At 44.6% G+C, this 17,078-nt stretch overlaps 1 protein-coding gene across 13 annotated transcripts in view, besides 2 other annotated features; it reads left to right on the forward strand.

The window, feature by feature from the left end:
- EXTL3 (exostosin like glycosyltransferase 3) overlaps positions 1-17,078 on the forward strand; it is a 148,827-nt gene that overhangs the window by 93,752 nt on the left and 37,997 nt on the right. For 8 of the 13 annotated variants that reach the window (XM_024447096.2, NM_001438401.1, NM_001438753.1 and 5 more), the window contains 2 exons: positions 11,970-12,063; positions 14,098-16,720. In XM_024447096.2, the coding sequence (XP_024302864.1) occupies positions 14,573-16,720 (2,148 nt within the window). In that variant the 5' untranslated portion in view covers positions 11,970-12,063; positions 14,098-14,572. Of the gene's footprint in view, positions 1-13; positions 173-477; positions 10,763-11,969; positions 12,064-14,097; positions 16,721-17,078 lie in introns of those variants that run through there. The other 5 variants (XM_047421517.1, NR_073469.2, NM_001440.4 and 2 more) reach the window with 5 other exon arrangements.
- Positions 3-72: a silencer, noted in NCBI's record as "silent region_19063". NCBI's record gives its function as "represses an Ori minimal core promoter by ATAC-STARR-seq in GM12878 lymphoblastoid cells {active_cell/tissue: GM12878}" and the evidence as "EXISTENCE:reporter gene assay evidence [ECO:0000049][PMID:35858748]".
- Positions 173-582: a silencer, noted in NCBI's record as "silent region_19064". NCBI's record gives its function as "represses an Ori minimal core promoter by ATAC-STARR-seq in GM12878 lymphoblastoid cells {active_cell/tissue: GM12878}" and the evidence as "EXISTENCE:reporter gene assay evidence [ECO:0000049][PMID:35858748]".

Below are 17,078 nucleotides of genomic sequence, written 5' to 3' on the forward strand. Positions count from 1 at the left end.
CCTTCGGCAAGTTCCGCAGTCGCCTGTCGGAAATGGCTGCCGGCCGGCAGGGGGAGCGGCGGATCAGGCGCGGCCTGGAAGGCGGGCGGCCGGCAGCCAGAACGGCTTCTGGGACGCCGACTTTCGCGCAGGCGGCGGCGGCGGCGGCGGCGGGTCCCTGAGCTGGAAGCCGGTAGGACTGCTGGCCGCGCGTGAGCCCGAGGAGCGGGGGCCGCGCCCGGAAGGGCTCATGGGAGGGTGCCGGGGCTGGCCCCGAGCGCTGGGGACGCGGCGGGAGGGACCGGGTCCGCCGTGCCCCGGGGAGGCTGCTGCTGCCCGGCGGCGGGAGGCATGCAGCCTCCGAGCGGAGTAGGCCTGCCCGGTGGCTCGGGGGCCCGGGGAGAGGCCGCCAGGCCCTCGGCCGGCAGCCGGGAGGGCTAACGGGTCCCTGGGCTGGGGCACCCCCTCCCCGCCCCCACACGCCCTCTCTCGTCCCAGTTTGGGCTGCTCGGGACCCGCCTCCACCTTTTTTTGGACGCTCGGCTGCAGCTGTTGGGCTTCCTCTGCTCCCTGAAGCCCTCCACCCTCTGTGACCCGCGGCGTTTCTCTGGCTGCTGGCCCGGAGCATCTTCTGTCGGCGGAGGCGCAGCTCCGGACTACCCCCACCCCTTCCCGAGCACACCTTCCCACATCTGCCCCCCGCTTCTACACGCAGTCGCCTGCTGCCCTCCCCGCTGGCTCTTTTTGCCGGGCTCGCCTCCTTTCAGGAGCCACAGTCAGAGGAGCCGCTTCCTGTCCGAGGGTCCAGGTGCTGCAGGACCCTGGCTCCCAGGCCCAGCTCCCCTAGAGCCGGCCTCGCGCTGCACGGGCTGGACCGGACAGGGGTGCGCGGGGCGTGTGTGCGCGGCGGAGCTCCGAGCCCAGCGACGGGGACAGCACCTATTCCGAGCCCCTCGGAGGCGAGCCAGGGCTGCCCGGCTGCTGATGGGTGCTGCTTTCTCTTCCCCACATTGAGCGAGAGCTTCGGCTCCTTTTATTAATAAAATCTGTTTGGCTCTCAGAAGACTTAAATTTTGTGGATTTTGCCCCTCCCCCGCCACCCGCACCACCCCACCCCCGCCCTTCCCCGCAACCTGGATTTTTCTTCCCTTTTTAAAAACTCTAAAAGCTTCATCAAGTCCTCTTGGTTCGACTCCTTTGGTGGAGGAGGAAGCGCAGAACACCACAACATGTCCATTATTTCCCCCATATGTGATTTACTTAAGAGTCGTCTTTAGCATTTCTTGTCACTTTGTCCTATTCTTTGTCCAATTTAGGTAGCTTCATTTTTACTGGCAGAGCTCCCCGTGCTTTCTTTTGTTTTTAAAGGCTTTGTGTGTTGCAGCCATGCAGACTCTGCAGTTTTCTGTATTTTGTTCGGCAGTGAGTCCTGCATTCTGATACAGTGACTATCGCTGTGACCTGTGTGCTGGGATAGTAACTGCGGGGCACAGAGTCTGGAGCGAAGCGAAGCCTTCTCAGCGACTTGCTATTTAGCAGAGGGACTTTGAAATATTTTGTGATGAAAGAAAAACCGTTTTCTTAAACTGTTATTTGATGTGTTAAAAATACCTTATCCTGTGGGAATTTCCCATTCGTTTGCTTGTGGGGAGCCGGAGGAATCATAAGAACTCACGAGCAAGAGAGAATCGAGCCTAAGTGCTTTCTGGAAGAGTCAGAATTGTGGCTCTTCAGACTTCCGGAAACGTGCTTAATGTCCAGAGATGTGAGGGGCATACCTACCTAAAAAATGATTGACAGGCGTATGTCTGTATCCCTCCACTTCTCGCTTTTCTAGTGGGGGAAAACCCTGTTAATACTTGGTGTGTAGTTGGGATCTTTCAGTGATTAGGCCTCAAGAGTTTTGACCTCGGAGTAAAAAGATTTTAAGGGAACAGTTTGGAGAGAAGTAAGTCGGGCCAGGCCGAGCATGGGAAATGTATTTCTAGGAGAGAGGGCAAGTCCAGAGGGTGGTTTGAAGCCAGCAGAAGACTAGAGAGAGACCTGTTCTTTTCCGCAGGGCCCTAGGCCAGCTGTGGATTGGAGGGTTATGGGTGATGAGGGGCTGCAGGAGTGATGCGGAGTCCTTGTCTCAGTTGAGACTGGTGGTCTTCTGGAGGAGGGTGGGAGGGATTCCCTGATGTAGACTCAGGTGTTAGGAGAAAAATGAAGTCCCATCAGACCTACTCTTGGTAAAGGTTCGAGCGCCTTTGTATGTTACTCTAGAGTGAGGCGAGGAATATGAAACCAGGACGTTTCATAACGTCCTAAAACTGCCTACTCCATTCGCTGGTTATTAAGTTTAGCTCAGAAAACTTCTATTAACATATTTCTATTTTATTTTTGTTACCCCTTCATTTCGGCAACTATCATTTCGAAGACTTTCAATGATAGGGCAGCTGACTGAGAGGGAAGAAAGGATTTTTCACGTTTGGAGGTTTCATGGAAATAGCATAGCCCAGGCAGAGAGAGTTTGTGAGCTCAAGAGGGACAGAGGTGGGCTCACCTGTAAGCTTCATCTTTTCTTTTCTTGCCTGAACCAGTTGCACAGTCCTTTTAAATTTTCAGTCATTCAGACCTCTTGGGTGATGTTACTAGGGAGAAGAGAAGCAGGATTTAAAAAACCTGTGATCTTGAAAATAGAAGAGGATTGGGGAGACTCATTACTAACATACTTCCCTCTCCCACAGTTAGGCCATAAAGTGCAGTGTAGGATACTACTCACATGCACCCAAATGACCCATCAAAAGTCTAGAAGTGGAGCCATAGGAAGATGAACTGTAGAATCTGTTGGAGAGTGAAAGCATCATATACATAATATATAAGAATGCCTACTATACGCAGCCATACAAACGGAATCCATAACTGAATGAGCAAAGCTGTATTCCAGTGAAACTTTATCTACAAAAGCAGGCAGCTGCCGCTTGCGGGTGCCTGCCTTAGAGTGCCACCCCTCACACACATGCCTTTCCTTTGGTATATTCCTTCATTTGGCTGTGTCCAATACCTTTTGGACTGGTCAATAATATTAATGGTTAACGTCCTGGATGTTTGCTTTTTTGACCATTTTCCCTTTAAAGTCTCTTTTCCAACTTGCTTTTAAATGTTTTTTCAGCAATTTTGACCTACTCTTTCCAGCATGGCTTCTTTTCTTTTTCTTTTTTTTTTCAATTTTTCTATTGAGACGGCGTCTCGCTCTTTTCGCCCAGGCTAGAGTGCAATGGCATGATCTCAGGTGACTGCAAACTTCCGCCTCCCAGGTTCAAGTAATTCTCCTGCCTCAACCTCCCAAGTAGCTGGCATTACAGGTGTGTGCCACCACACCCGGCTAATTTTGTATTTTCAGTAGAGACTGGGTTTCACCAAGTTGGCCAGGCTGGTCTTGAACTTCCACCCACCTCAGCCTCCCAAAGTGCTGGGATATAGGCTTGAGCCGCCGCATCCGGCTTCCTTTGTTTCTGAAGTAGAGCTGTAAAATATAAAAGCACAGTGGCTTCGAATGGAGAAAATAGTTGATGGGATCCCAAATTATTAATGGAGTCTGTGGAAAATTAAGGGGGGCCTTAAAGCCTTATGCCTGAAATCTTGGAGGTGAAACGAGAAGGAGGTCTTGGGAATGGCCTTGCTGCCTTGAGTAGGTAGGGTGGTGAAATTTTCCCCACAGCAAAACATGTTTTTGTGCTTCCTGGGAGCAAGGCAATTGTCAGTGAGGGCCTAGAGTCTAAAAGGATCTTTGAGGTCATCCGGTCTAACCCCTTAATTTACGAGTTAACAAAGGACAAGGAGCTTATGAGTCAAGAACGAGGAATTGGGAAGTTAGGGGACCTGATGAATCAGAAATATGGTAATGATGATGGGATGGTAAAGCGTCTCAAGCTGAATTCACCCACAAAGGGTGAAGGAGAATGCCCGAGTCATAAGCTGATTTAAGGCTGGGCACGGTGGCTCACACCTGTAATCCCAGCACTTTGGGAGGCGGAGGTGAGAGGATCACCTTGAGTCCAGGAGTTCAAGACCAGCTTGAGCAACATTATAGTAAGACCCTGTCTCTTAAAAAAAAAAAAAAAGGAAAAACCTGATTTATGTATGGCTTAGCAAACTTGCTTCACTTTCTCTATCTCATTCAGGGAGGCCCAGGGCACTAACGATATCAATTGTATGCCTCCACAGCATAAAATAAAAATCATGTATGTTTGAGAAGCGAAAACCGTTAGATTAGTTTATATTCTAGGCACTTGCATACTAAGTTGACTGTTCTGAGAATAAGTTAGCAAAATCCATCTGAAGACCTTATTTGAAAACCTTGTTTCTACATCGCTACCCAGCCCTTATGAAAATGACGCATCTCATTTTAGGAGGGAGAGTGAGAAAGATAGGAAGAATGCAGAAATCACCTATAATTTCACAATCTAGAAGTGCCTCTGTTGGTGTTTTTGCTTCTGTTTGTTTTTCTATTCAGAAATATATACATATGCATTTTAAACATGTTATACTGCATATATGGCTTTGAATCTGTATTTTTCCAGCTAACATTGTGAACATGTTTTCATTTTATTTAAAACCATTGAAAAGCTTCCTAATGGTATCATAGTCATATCAGTGACAGTCACACTTTGTTTAACCTTGCTCCTAGTCTTGGACATTTAATTTATATATTTTATACAGATGATAAAGAATAATGAGGTGATTGCATCTTTACATACAAATCTTGCTCACCTAAAATATATTCCTAGAAAGTGAAATTGCTGAATCAGAGATAAGAAAATTTTGAAGGTTTTTTTCTTACAAATGGCAAATTACTTTTCAGTTTACCTTTCTACTAACACAAGAGTACCTGCCACATTGTAGCAGCCAGCATAGTTCAGAGTTGTACTGTACTTTAATCACTATTTTAATGTTTTAGTATGAGCATTTTGGAAGTTAAATCTTTTTTCTCACTCATGATTCTTTAAGAATAATTTCTCGGATAGAATTACAGGGAAAGAGGATAGACACAGTTTCAGTGTTTTTATTACTGCCAAATTGTGCTCCAGAAAGGTGTGCCAATTTGCAATCCCAGCAGCCAAGTGTGGGAATGTTTACCCTGGATCCTGCTTAGCACCAGATATTATAATTTTACAATACTTTGATGATTTATTAGTGGAAAATATCACAGTATCTTGTTTGAAATGTGTATTTCTTTGATCGCTAGGAAGGTTAAACATATAAACATGTTTATCACTTGAACCCTTTTTTTGTGTAACTTCTTATTTATGTCCGTTGACCACTGTTGATTGCTTTCTTTTAATTCTGTCATATTGAGCAGGCTTCCCCATTTTTAATCAAATTTAAGCTTTTTTTTTTTCCTTCTGAATACATAGAATCATTTGATTCTTATATAGTCAAACCTGTTGAACATTTCTGGATTTTACTTTTGCTTGGATTCCTGGAAAAGTGGCTGTACTTGAGATGAGATTACATGTATATTTTCCTTTTCTTGTTACGGTTCATTTATTATAATTAACTCTTGAATCCACCTGGAACTTATTTTTGGATTTGGTTTGTCATGCAGTAATCTGACTTTATTTTTTTTCCCAAATAGATGTGTCACATTATTTATTGAAAAATGTAATGAGGTGTTCTTTAAAAAGATTGCAACAAGGTAATATTTTTAATTACAAAAGTAATACATAATGATTGTAAAATGAATTAAGACAAAATGAATCCTCTAAGTAAACAAATGGTAGATAAGCAAGAAGCAGTATACAGGGCTGTAGGTCATACGGACCTGGATTTGTAACTTGGTTGCTGTATTGCCTTGAACAAGTTTCCTATCCTTGGTGATACACCACTGCTTCATCGGTGAAGTGGAAATGACAGTACTCCCATGTGGCTGATGAAATGTATGTGTGAAGTGTGTTATCTAGAGTACTGTGCCTAGCACACTGTAAATATAAATCAGTAGCAATTATGAAAAAGCCCTCTCCTCCCCATCTTCCAAGGGTATGTGGTGCATTGAAGTGCGGACTTTCTGCGTTAGCTAAGGGATAGTGCTGTTTGTCTTCCTTAGCTGTCTATGTTGATTGAGCTGCCATCAATCTGAATCTCCATTACTATCAATTCTTCATTAGACCAATAGTTTTGGAGTTAGGGTTGTGTGCTCTGCATTAAAATCACCTGGGAACTTTGTCAAACTGCAGGAGTTTTCCCCCACACCTAGGAATTCTGATTTAGTTAATGTAGCACGGTCCCGGTTTGTTATTTGAAAAAATTCTTAAGTGGTGAATCTGATTTTTACACATAATTAAACTGACTGGTAAAACAATACGATTTGGATTTGTGGGACATTAGCGAACTGGTGGGAAGGGAAGCAGATAAGGCAATGGCATAATTTTCAAATTGAGGACTTATCCTGGGAGTTGAGACTTCTGGGCCCAGGTTTGTTGCCAAGTAAACAGATAACTTGGAGTAATCAATAGCCTCATTTTCCTTGTTAATATCTATATATTCAGCAGCGGAAGGAATGCTCACCACTTATTGATGAGTTCCTTTTGTATTTTGTGATTTGTCTGCTAGTGGCATTTGTGGAACACCTTGGGATTTAGAAACCTACTCTTAAGCCCAAAGAATAAATTGTTTTCCCTTTCAAACAGCCCTGTAATAAGGGCGGCTCAAACTCTGGTTCTCTGGTTGCATCATAATCTTCACTCTTCAGTCAGTAGGTCAAGGCACAACCAGTTTTTCACACTTCGTTTTGCTTTTTAATTGCTGAGGATGTTCTGTTTCCCTTTTTTCATCCAGGCTAGGTTACACAGTAAGAAACCACTGTGGTCGTTGGATTGTGAAAAACATAGGGCCTTGGTCTCCTGTAACTTGGGAAGTGTCTACATGTAGTTCTTAGAGCTTACTCTTTATCTACAATTAGTTTCCCTGGGAAGTGCCTTTTTTTTTTTTTTTTTTTTAAACAGAAGACAAATCAGTGATAGTGTTGGGAAATGTGTTTTAGTGCTTATTAACATACTTCCTGACTTCACGAACTAGGTACTGTCTTGCCTTGACAGGCTGTTTGTCATGCCTGTAGTTAGGAAATCAGGAAATGATGTTTTTTTGGGTTGTTAGTACTTAAAAACAAAACAATCCTCTGAAATACTGCTTTCAGTGACCTCACTGAAATGGTTTCCTGTGGAGAACTCTCTTTACCTAATTGGAAGGGCTCCTGGTGATGGCAGCAATGACAGCAGCATGCAGACAGCTCTGTAGAACCCGCACCTGGGTTGTCATGGAGTTCTGCCACTTGATGGGCCTATTTTGACCTAAATGAAAAAGAGAAAATAGTACTACAAGCACAGATATACAGGTGGGCCATAGGCACAGTGGCAAACATCTTTTGTTCTGAGTCTGCTATTCTCTTTAGCAGGTAAATACTTTGAATATAGTGTTGGTTTTGGGTTTTAGAGGAATATTATGTGTGTCAATTGTAATTATTATTCATGGTTACAGCGGAGTAGCAGTGATATGGAGAATGTAAAAATGATACACATGATAGGCATGTGTGTGTGTGCCTGCTCGCACTCTTACTTGAATTAATATAGACAGTGTAACATAATAAAGGCATTAAAGGTATGAGCTTTACAGCCAGCTTGCTTTGGTTTGAATTCAAGTTTTACCACATAACATGGGTGACCCATGGCTCATTAGCCTCTGTGCTTTGGTTTCCTCGTGTACAGAACAGGAATAACAGTAAACCCACTTCACGGGATTGCTGTGAGGATTAAGTGAGTGTGTTGAGGAATATATGGTAATAGGTTTAACCCGGCATACAGTAAGCATTCAATACCTGTTAGCTATTATCATAATTATTTAAGATATTAGAGGCCGTTGAAGGTTTCATTGGGAACATCTGGAAAGCGTCTAGCCTCTCTCTCTGTTTCTCACTCTGTTCTCCCTTCATACCTTCCACGTGGAAGGCATAACAGCCAGATGGAGCAGTGACTCCCTTCTTCCCTGTCGCGCCTCCTGTCTCTCCTGTCTCTCCGGGTGAGTGTTTTAGTGTAGTTTAACTTTTTTTCTTTCTTTTGGAGTAGTCTGATAATTTTCTGCATATAAAAAAATTTACAGTTTTATTAAAAGATGCAAAAGAAGACCTAAATAGAGACATATCCCAGATCCGCAATGGGAAGTTTCAATATCAGTGTTTTAGTTTTACAAGGAGAAAAGTCGAGTCTGTAGGATGGTTGTTATATCAACAAACTCTTGAAAGCAAGGCCGTGAGTAATGTTCCTGCAGATAATCGCAGTTTGCTATTGTGATAAGGGATGTGAGAGGAGGAGGGCCCTGGTACGTGGAGGTGGAGGGGCGAGAAGGTGAAGGGGAACACCAGCACGTGCACAGTTCTGGATTGGAACTCTGAGCCCCGACTTCTCAGCCCACCGCTCAGACTCTCGAATGGAGTGATTACATTACAGCTTTCCAGGGCTACTGCTTGGTTCAGCCCTCCAATGAGGAGCTAGCAGATGGCGACTTCTGCTTTGCATTTGTCAGCAAAAATGTCTGATTAGGGAAAAGAGTAAAAGGTAGAATGCTGGCCACAATCTGAATGATAAATCTCTGTATACAACTATTTTAATTTTTTTTCCCCTGGGAGAAGACACTGTCATGATCCTGTTCTAGTCATAGAAGATGTGCTTGCTGCCATTGAACGTCTGAGGTGTAGATGTCTGTGTTGCTGACCACTGGAAAAAGGATTATCAGGAGGGAGGTGAAGATGGGAAAAGTAAATTTGAGAGTCAGCCAATCAGGGGGCTAAGCGAAGCTCATTGGCAAGCTCTGGGAGGTGAAGGCAGAAAAGAGGTTGAGGACAAGCCTGCAGGAACAGCTACATTTGGGGAGTGGTGAAAAGGGGTCAGAGAAAGAGAAGCAGGAGAGGACATGGGCAGGAAGTGTAAAATGCAGACTGACTTAATATGAGGTGCACAGCATGGGTGAGAACGCAAGACACTTTGATAGGAGAAATGAAGGTGTAAGTGGGGAGAATTTTTATGCTTCTGGATAGGATTACCCTAATATTGTGTTAAGTATTTTTATGTCTATATTCATGAGAGATTTTTTTTTTGTAGTTTTCTTTCTTTCTTTTTTTTTTTTTTTTTGAGGCAAGGTCTTGCTCTGTCACCCAGGTGTGATCTCACCTCCCACCTCAGCCTCTAGTAGCTGGGACCATGCCTGGCTAATTTAAATTTTTTTTTTTTTGGTAGAGATGGGGTCTCACTGTGTTGCCAGGGCTGGTCTCAAGTCATCCTCTCCCCTCAGCCTTCTGGAGTGGTGTGATTACAGGCATGAGCCGCAGCGCCTGGCTTGTGGTATTCTTTATTTTGGTACTGTCTTTGTCTGGCTTTAGTCAGGGCAATGCTAGGTTTATAAAATGAACTGGGAAGTGTTCCTTCCTCTGGAAGAGACAGTGTAGAGTAGGTGTTTATTTTTCTTTAAATGTTCAGTAGAATTCTTCAGTGAACCATCTGGGGCTGGAGATTTCTTTTTTGGGATTTTCAAAAGTATGAAGTCAGTTTACTTAATAGTTATAAAACTAATTCAGATTATTCCCTATTGGATGAGTTGTGGTACTTTGTGTTTTCCAAGGAGTTGGTCTATTTCACTGAAGTGTATAGAGTTGTTTGTAGCCTGCAGGGACTGTGGTGATAGCCCCTGTTTCATTCCTGCTATTGGAAATTTGTGTCTTTTCCCTTTTTTCTTTGTCATTCTTGTAGGTTTTTCAAACCAGTGACAAACCTCTTTGTTTTCTTGATTTTTCTCTTCTGCTTTTCTGTTTTCGATTTCGTTGATTTCTGCTCTTTAGGTTTGTTTTGTTTTTTTTCTGGGTTCTTGAAGGAGGAGCATAGGTTATTGATTCGAGACTTTTCTTCAATGCAAGAATTTATGCATAAATTTTCCTCTTAGCACTGTTTTAGCCATGTTCCCATTTTTTTTTCTTCCATCTATAATATCTTACTTAATTTGTGCAATAACCCTGGCGGTAGGTAGAGATTTTCAGACTCACTTTACAAAGGAGGAAATGAGCTCAGGGAGATTATGTAACATTCCCAAATTCTCAAGGCTGAGCTGCATCCTGAGCCGGGTAGTCTAGCTGCAGGTCCATATGGCCATCCAGCTGCCTCCTGGCTCTGAAGTTCTCTCTCTGTAGTTTATAATGTATTCAATACAATATATTATTTGTTAATGGATTCATTAACATTATGTTGAGAGCCATGGGGAACACTTTCAGTATGAGGTAGGAGGACTGGGTCCCAGCAAAGCAGAAAGGGAGGATGAGTCAGGGAAGTAGATGGAACACTAAAAAAGCACAGCTTCATGGAAGTCCAGGGGAGAATTGAGAGTTTGTAGGATGAGGAAGTGATCAGTGATAGGATTCATTTATTTAACAAATATTTATAGAGTGTTTACAGTGTGCTGGACACTGGGCTGGGTGCTGGCCACGCAGCAGTGATCCAAACACAAAGGGTTCCTCCCCTCGAGGATTAGGCTTTGGTGGGGAAGGGAGGGAATTAATAAATTACAAGATATTAGGAAGTAAATCAGTGGGTCGGTGCCAGAGAGCATCGGGGGGTAAGAAAGGCAACTTTAAATGGTAATGCCAGGAAAGTTGAGGCCTGAAGGATGAGAAAGAGTCTGCCAGGCAGAAGCCTGGGGAAGAACATTTCAGACAAAACAGGCATAAAGTTTTGAGAGCGAGAAGCTTGGCACAGTCGAGGAGGTAAGAGGAGGCCAGTGTGGCTGAAGCTGAGAGAGCAAGGGGAAGAGCGATGGTAACTGAGATGGGTCTGGGGAGCCCGGCAGTACAGTGGGCAGCCTTGAAAATATTGAGAGGGGAGGCGTGGCCTGACTCATGTTTCACGATGGTCCTGGTTGCTGTGTATGGAGTGCATTGTAGGGGCAGGAATGGAGGCCAGCTGGCAAGTTAAGCATGAAATGCTGTGGCAGGTGACTGAGAATGAATTAGACATGTACATTGTATATGGAATAAAAAAAATCTGAAGGGCTCCTTATCATTGTTTCAGTGACATTTATTTCTAGAGGCTGATATGTTTATTGTCATTTTCCAGAGAATGACAGAAGAGATTCTGAGGGTATCCTTTTTCTTTTGTGCTTGAAATAATTTAATTAGCTGTTTAGGAAGGAATGCTCATGCTATTGGACATGGATGATGCTTTTGCCTGGCTCCAGTAAAAGAGATGGGAATTTAGTGGGGATGCATTCTTTTGAATCATTGTTGAATTATTGGTTTCTGTGAGAACATTTGTTTCTGCCCTCAGCTCTGCTTATATGTAAGTTGGTAGCACTAGAAATATTAGACTAACTATAGTCAGTCTCCAAATGACTTTTTAATAACCTCTGTTTAGACTCTGTATGTAGTATCTTTTAGAATTTTTGGTATGAAAAATTTCAAACTTAGACAAAAGAGAGCCTGATATAATAAGCCCCCATGGGTACCCATCATTCAGTGTCAACAGCAGTCAGCTCACGGCCGATCTTGGGTTCATTTCTACCCGCAAACATTCCCCGCCACCCTCATCCTGTTTATTTTGAAGCAAATTCCAGGTATATCATTTCATCTGTAAATATCTCAGTATATACTTTCAACAAGTAAGGACTTTTCCATATTTTAGTGTTTGGTTTTATTCCCCCTTAGAGCACATAAATAGGTAACGTCTGTCTGGACGGTTTGCCTGCCAGAGTCCCCGTGTATACCTCTTGTCCCAGTGTATTTATTAATAGTCTCCCTTTCCACTTCAAAGAGTCTCTGTTTGGACAGTAAATTATTTGGTGACCTCATGTACATAAGAGAAATCTTTTCATAGGGGACAGTAAATAGGTTCTTTAATAGCACTTTCAGTATTGAGTATTTTTCTAATAGTATGTCACTGTTCTATTTTTGTTTTTTGTTTTTTTTTTTAAATCAGGAGAGCAAGCCCTGGAGGTTCACTCTTTCAAGAAGTCGTGTGCTGAGGTGTAATGCTACACAAGTCAGAGGAAGGAAGGGTCCTGAAACACATGGTGAGGAAGGAATGAGTCAGCTGGATTGCTGTGATTACGCCTTCTTTTCTTTTTCTTCCATTCTGTTGTTTCTTTGTTACAATTTGGTCATAAGTGCAAAGAAGATTCTTTTGAAAGCAAGAGATTTAAACATTTGAATCACAAGGATAATGTAAATTTGAGTATTTGGTCAGCTGCTAATTATCCAAGTTTAGATTATCCAAATACTTAAACCTTTTAGTAATATTATCATCAACTTTAGGTCTGATGTCTTGTCAGGTGTTCTTTGTAATGGACAAAGTGACTCACACCATCATTTCCCTCCTCTCATTCTTTGCTGTTAGCTGATTCTAATATCCTCTTTTCTTTCTTTCTTTTTTTTTTTTTTTTTTTTGAGATGGTATTTCACTCTTGTTGCCTGGGCTGGAGTGCAATGGTGCGATCTCGGCTCACTGCAACCTCCACCTCCCGGGTTCAGGCGATTCTCCTGCCTCAGCCTCCTGAGTAGCTGGGATTACAGTTGCGTGCCACCACACCCAGCTAATTTTGTATTTTTAGTAGAGATGGGGTTTTGCCATGTTGGCCAGGCTGGTCTCAAACTCCTGACCTCAGGAGATCCGCTCGCCTCGGCCTCTCAAAGTGCTGGGATTACAGGTGTGAGCCACCATGCCCAGCCTAATATCCCCTTGTCTTTAGAAATTGTTATTATAATTTATTGACAGATTAAAATTTAATGTCCAATGTTACGATGAAATAAAATGTTACTTGAAAAAATGTTAGAATGTTTAAAGGAATCTTTATTCTGAAACATAATTAAAATTATGTTTATAAAAATGGTAAAAAGGAGAGAAGACTATTACACCTTTAATAGTTAAACATCTTTGACAGAGGTAGAAGCTAGAGAAAGTGGTTGTGCCTCTGTGAAGTCCTACTCATTTTATGCTACGTGTACCCTTGTTTGTTTATATCTTATCTCTTAGGGTAAGGGAAGTTCCATGAGGTCAAGGATTATACACCCTAGATTCTCCCACAGTTATACTTAGCATGTCTTAGCCCTGTTAAGAGTATGGTGAATATTTTTTGGAAGAATTAAAAAAAGAAACCGGGAATATTCCCTGGCATAGAATATTATGATTTGTTTCTAGCTGTGTTGAATTTGAGGGAAAGCAAGTGGCAAGCCTCTGCAGCCAGTGGCAGTGAAGCTTGGTGAGAGAGCAGGGCTGGGAGTGTTGCTGAGGGACTGAGTCGCTACAAGCGTCCTCCCATCCACTGCACTTTGTATCACAGCAACGTGGTGCATTGCCGTCTCCGTGCACCTATCTCCATTTTAGAAGATTAGGAAACCAAGGTCTGATAGCAAATCTGTCAGCAAAGAAGGAGAACGAATGCCTCTCATTTCTAAGTATAGTGTTCTTTCTAAAAGAGCAAGTTACTATTTATATTTTAAGAAAGAGCACATGATGTCTGCTAATGGAAGATAAATGAGAAGCAAACTGGGAAATACATTTTGTCTCAGGATTACTGCATCTACTACTGGATAAAGATCAAAAGAGTTCTCTTCAACCCTTTCAACTCTACATTTAACAAATTGAGCTTTTCAGAGTCTTTTTTTGTAAAGTATTTCCAAAGAAGACTTATAGGTTAGGAATAAACATAAACTACCCAGGTTGGCTAGGAAGGTATTTCTGTTCATCTAAAGATGATGCCCAGGTGTGGAACAGGATAAGAAAAGACCATGGACATCTTTGTCCCATGAATTTAGTTGGTCATCGTGTTACAGGGCTATAATGCCGCTCTAGATCCAGTTAAATAAGAAGTGGGGAGGGGTTGTAAACTGCAGCTTTTTGGGGCACTTATCCATTTATTACCCCAAGTAAAAGACCTATACCAAACAGCAAACAACATCTCTGCATTGTCATTATAATGTTCTTTGAGACACAGCCAGTGTTCCAGCCATTGTTCCATCTAAGATTTAAGCATTTTCTAGAAATGTATGGTGGCAGGGGTGTTGAACATAACTTCTTCAAGACTGACATGGTTCTCTTTCTTTTGCAGGCCTGATTGTTGGCAAAGGCATCATAAGAAGCTGGCATTTATTTCTGTTCTAACCTATTACTGTATAACTGTGAATAGACACTATGCATATTTGTTGGTCAGCAAAACCAAGAAACAAGAGCTATGGCATTTGAAAAAGTCTGTCTGATTCCAGGGTGTTTTTCCTGGGTTTCATCATCAGGTACCTCCTCCCTTTCATCTCAGCAAGAATGTGGCACCTTTTATCGTTTGATAAAGATTAAGGACATGTTCTTTGGTCAACAGCCAGAACTTAAAATCTGCTGGAATAGGGTCAGAGACCATTTCAGCTGCAGCTGAGGAAAATGAAATGTTCATTTTATTTGGTGCCTTGTCTGGGGAGCACACTAACTCTTCTGGAAACGTGTCAGTGAAACAGAGATCGTTTTGTGGAATAGCAACCCATGGTTATGGCGAGTGACCCGACGTGATCTGGGGGGCAGGCTGCAGAGGACTCATGACAGGCTATACCATGCTGCGGAATGGGGGCGCGGGGAACGGAGGTCAGACCTGCATGCTGCGCTGGTCCAACCGCATCCGCCTCACGTGGCTCAGCTTCACGCTCTTTGTCATCCTGGTCTTCTTCCCGCTCATCGCCCACTATTACCTCACCACTCTGGATGAGGCTGATGAGGCAGGCAAGCGGATTTTTGGTCCCCGGGTGGGGAACGAGCTGTGCGAGGTGAAGCACGTGCTGGATCTGTGCCGCATCCGGGAGTCGGTGAGTGAAGAGCTCCTGCAGCTGGAGGCCAAGCGCCAAGAGCTGAACAGCGAGATCGCCAAGCTGAATCTGAAGATCGAAGCCTGTAAGAAGAGCATTGAGAACGCCAAGCAGGACCTGCTCCAGCTCAAGAATGTCATCAGCCAGACCGAGCATTCCTACAAGGAGCTCATGGCCCAGAACCAGCCCAAGCTGTCCCTGCCCATCCGACTGCTCCCAGAGAAGGACGATGCCGGCCTCCCTCCCCCGAAGGCCACTCGGGGCTGCCGGCTACACAACTGCTTTGATTATTCTCGTTGCCCTCTCACCTCTGGCTTCCCGGTCTACGTCTATGACAGTGACCAGTTTGTCTTTGGCAGCTACCTGGATCCCTTGGTCAAGCAGGCTTTTCAGGCGACAGCACGAGCTAACGTTTATGTTACAGAAAATGCAGACATCGCCTGCCTTTACGTGATACTAGTGGGAGAGATGCAGGAGCCGGTGGTGCTGCGGCCTGCTGAGCTGGAGAAGCAGTTGTATTCCCTGCCACACTGGCGGACGGATGGACACAACCATGTCATCATCAATCTGTCACGTAAGTCAGATACACAGAACCTTCTCTATAACGTCAGTACTGGCCGTGCCATGGTGGCCCAGTCCACCTTCTACACTGTCCAGTACAGACCTGGCTTTGACTTGGTCGTATCACCGCTGGTCCATGCCATGTCTGAGCCCAACTTCATGGAAATCCCACCACAGGTGCCGGTGAAGCGGAAATATCTCTTCACCTTCCAGGGCGAGAAGATTGAGTCTCTGAGGTCTAGCCTTCAGGAGGCCCGCTCCTTCGAAGAGGAAATGGAGGGCGACCCTCCCGCCGACTACGATGACCGGATCATTGCCACCCTGAAGGCGGTGCAGGACAGCAAGCTGGATCAGGTCCTGGTGGAATTCACCTGCAAAAACCAGCCCAAACCCAGCCTGCCGACTGAGTGGGCACTGTGTGGAGAGCGGGAGGACCGCTTGGAATTGCTGAAGCTCTCCACCTTCGCCCTCATCATTACCCCCGGGGACCCTCGCTTGGTTATTTCCTCTGGGTGTGCAACACGGCTCTTCGAAGCCCTGGAAGTCGGTGCCGTCCCGGTGGTGCTGGGGGAGCAGGTCCAGCTTCCCTACCAGGACATGCTGCAGTGGAACGAGGCGGCCCTGGTGGTGCCAAAGCCTCGTGTTACCGAGGTTCATTTCCTGCTCAGAAGCCTCTCCGATAGTGACCTCCTGGCTATGAGGCGGCAAGGCCGCTTTCTCTGGGAGACTTACTTCTCCACTGCTGACAGTATTTTTAATACCGTGCTGGCTATGATTAGGACTCGCATCCAGATCCCAGCCGCTCCCATCCGGGAAGAGGCGGCAGCTGAGATCCCCCACCGTTCAGGCAAGGCGGCTGGAACTGACCCCAACATGGCTGACAACGGGGACCTGGACCTGGGGCCAGTGGAGACGGAGCCGCCCTACGCCTCACCCAGATACCTCCGCAATTTCACTCTGACTGTCACTGACTTTTACCGCAGCTGGAACTGTGCTCCAGGGCCTTTCCATCTTTTCCCCCACACTCCCTTTGACCCTGTGTTGCCCTCAGAGGCCAAATTCTTGGGCTCAGGGACTGGCTTTCGGCCTATTGGTGGTGGAGCTGGGGGTTCTGGCAAGGAATTTCAGGCAGCGCTTGGAGGCAATGTTCCCCGAGAGCAGTTCACGGTGGTGATGTTGACTTATGAGCGGGAGGAAGTGCTTATGAACTCTTTAGAGAGGCTGAATGGCCTCCCTTACCTGAACAAGGTCGTGGTGGTGTGGAATTCTCCCAAGCTGCCATCAGAGGACCTTCTGTGGCCTGACATTGGCGTCCCCATCATGGTAATAGAGAAACGAACAGTTCGTTTTGGTGCATGAAATAGTATTTCACTCTTAATCCCTTTTCCAACTTCCTTCACTTTAGCAATCGTAACTTCTAGCAGAGGAGAATACATGCATACTCATGAAAAACCTGTATAGATTCCTTTCTTCCTGAAGGGTTTGCTTGCTGCTTTTTCAAGCCTTGGCAGTTCTGTGGCTGTTACTCACTTCCTAAATCGAGGATCCCCAAAACTGAAACTGATTTTATATTCAATATACAAAACCTTGTCGGTTATCCCGTAGACTTCCATGTCATAACAAGATGATGATGATAATGATAAGCTACCATTTAGGAAGCACTTAGCCTCTAGGCACTATA

Source organism: Homo sapiens, chromosome 8 (genome assembly GCF_000001405.40).
Source record: "Homo sapiens chromosome 8, GRCh38.p14 Primary Assembly".
Taxonomy (NCBI): Eukaryota; Metazoa; Chordata; class Mammalia; order Primates; family Hominidae; genus Homo; species Homo sapiens.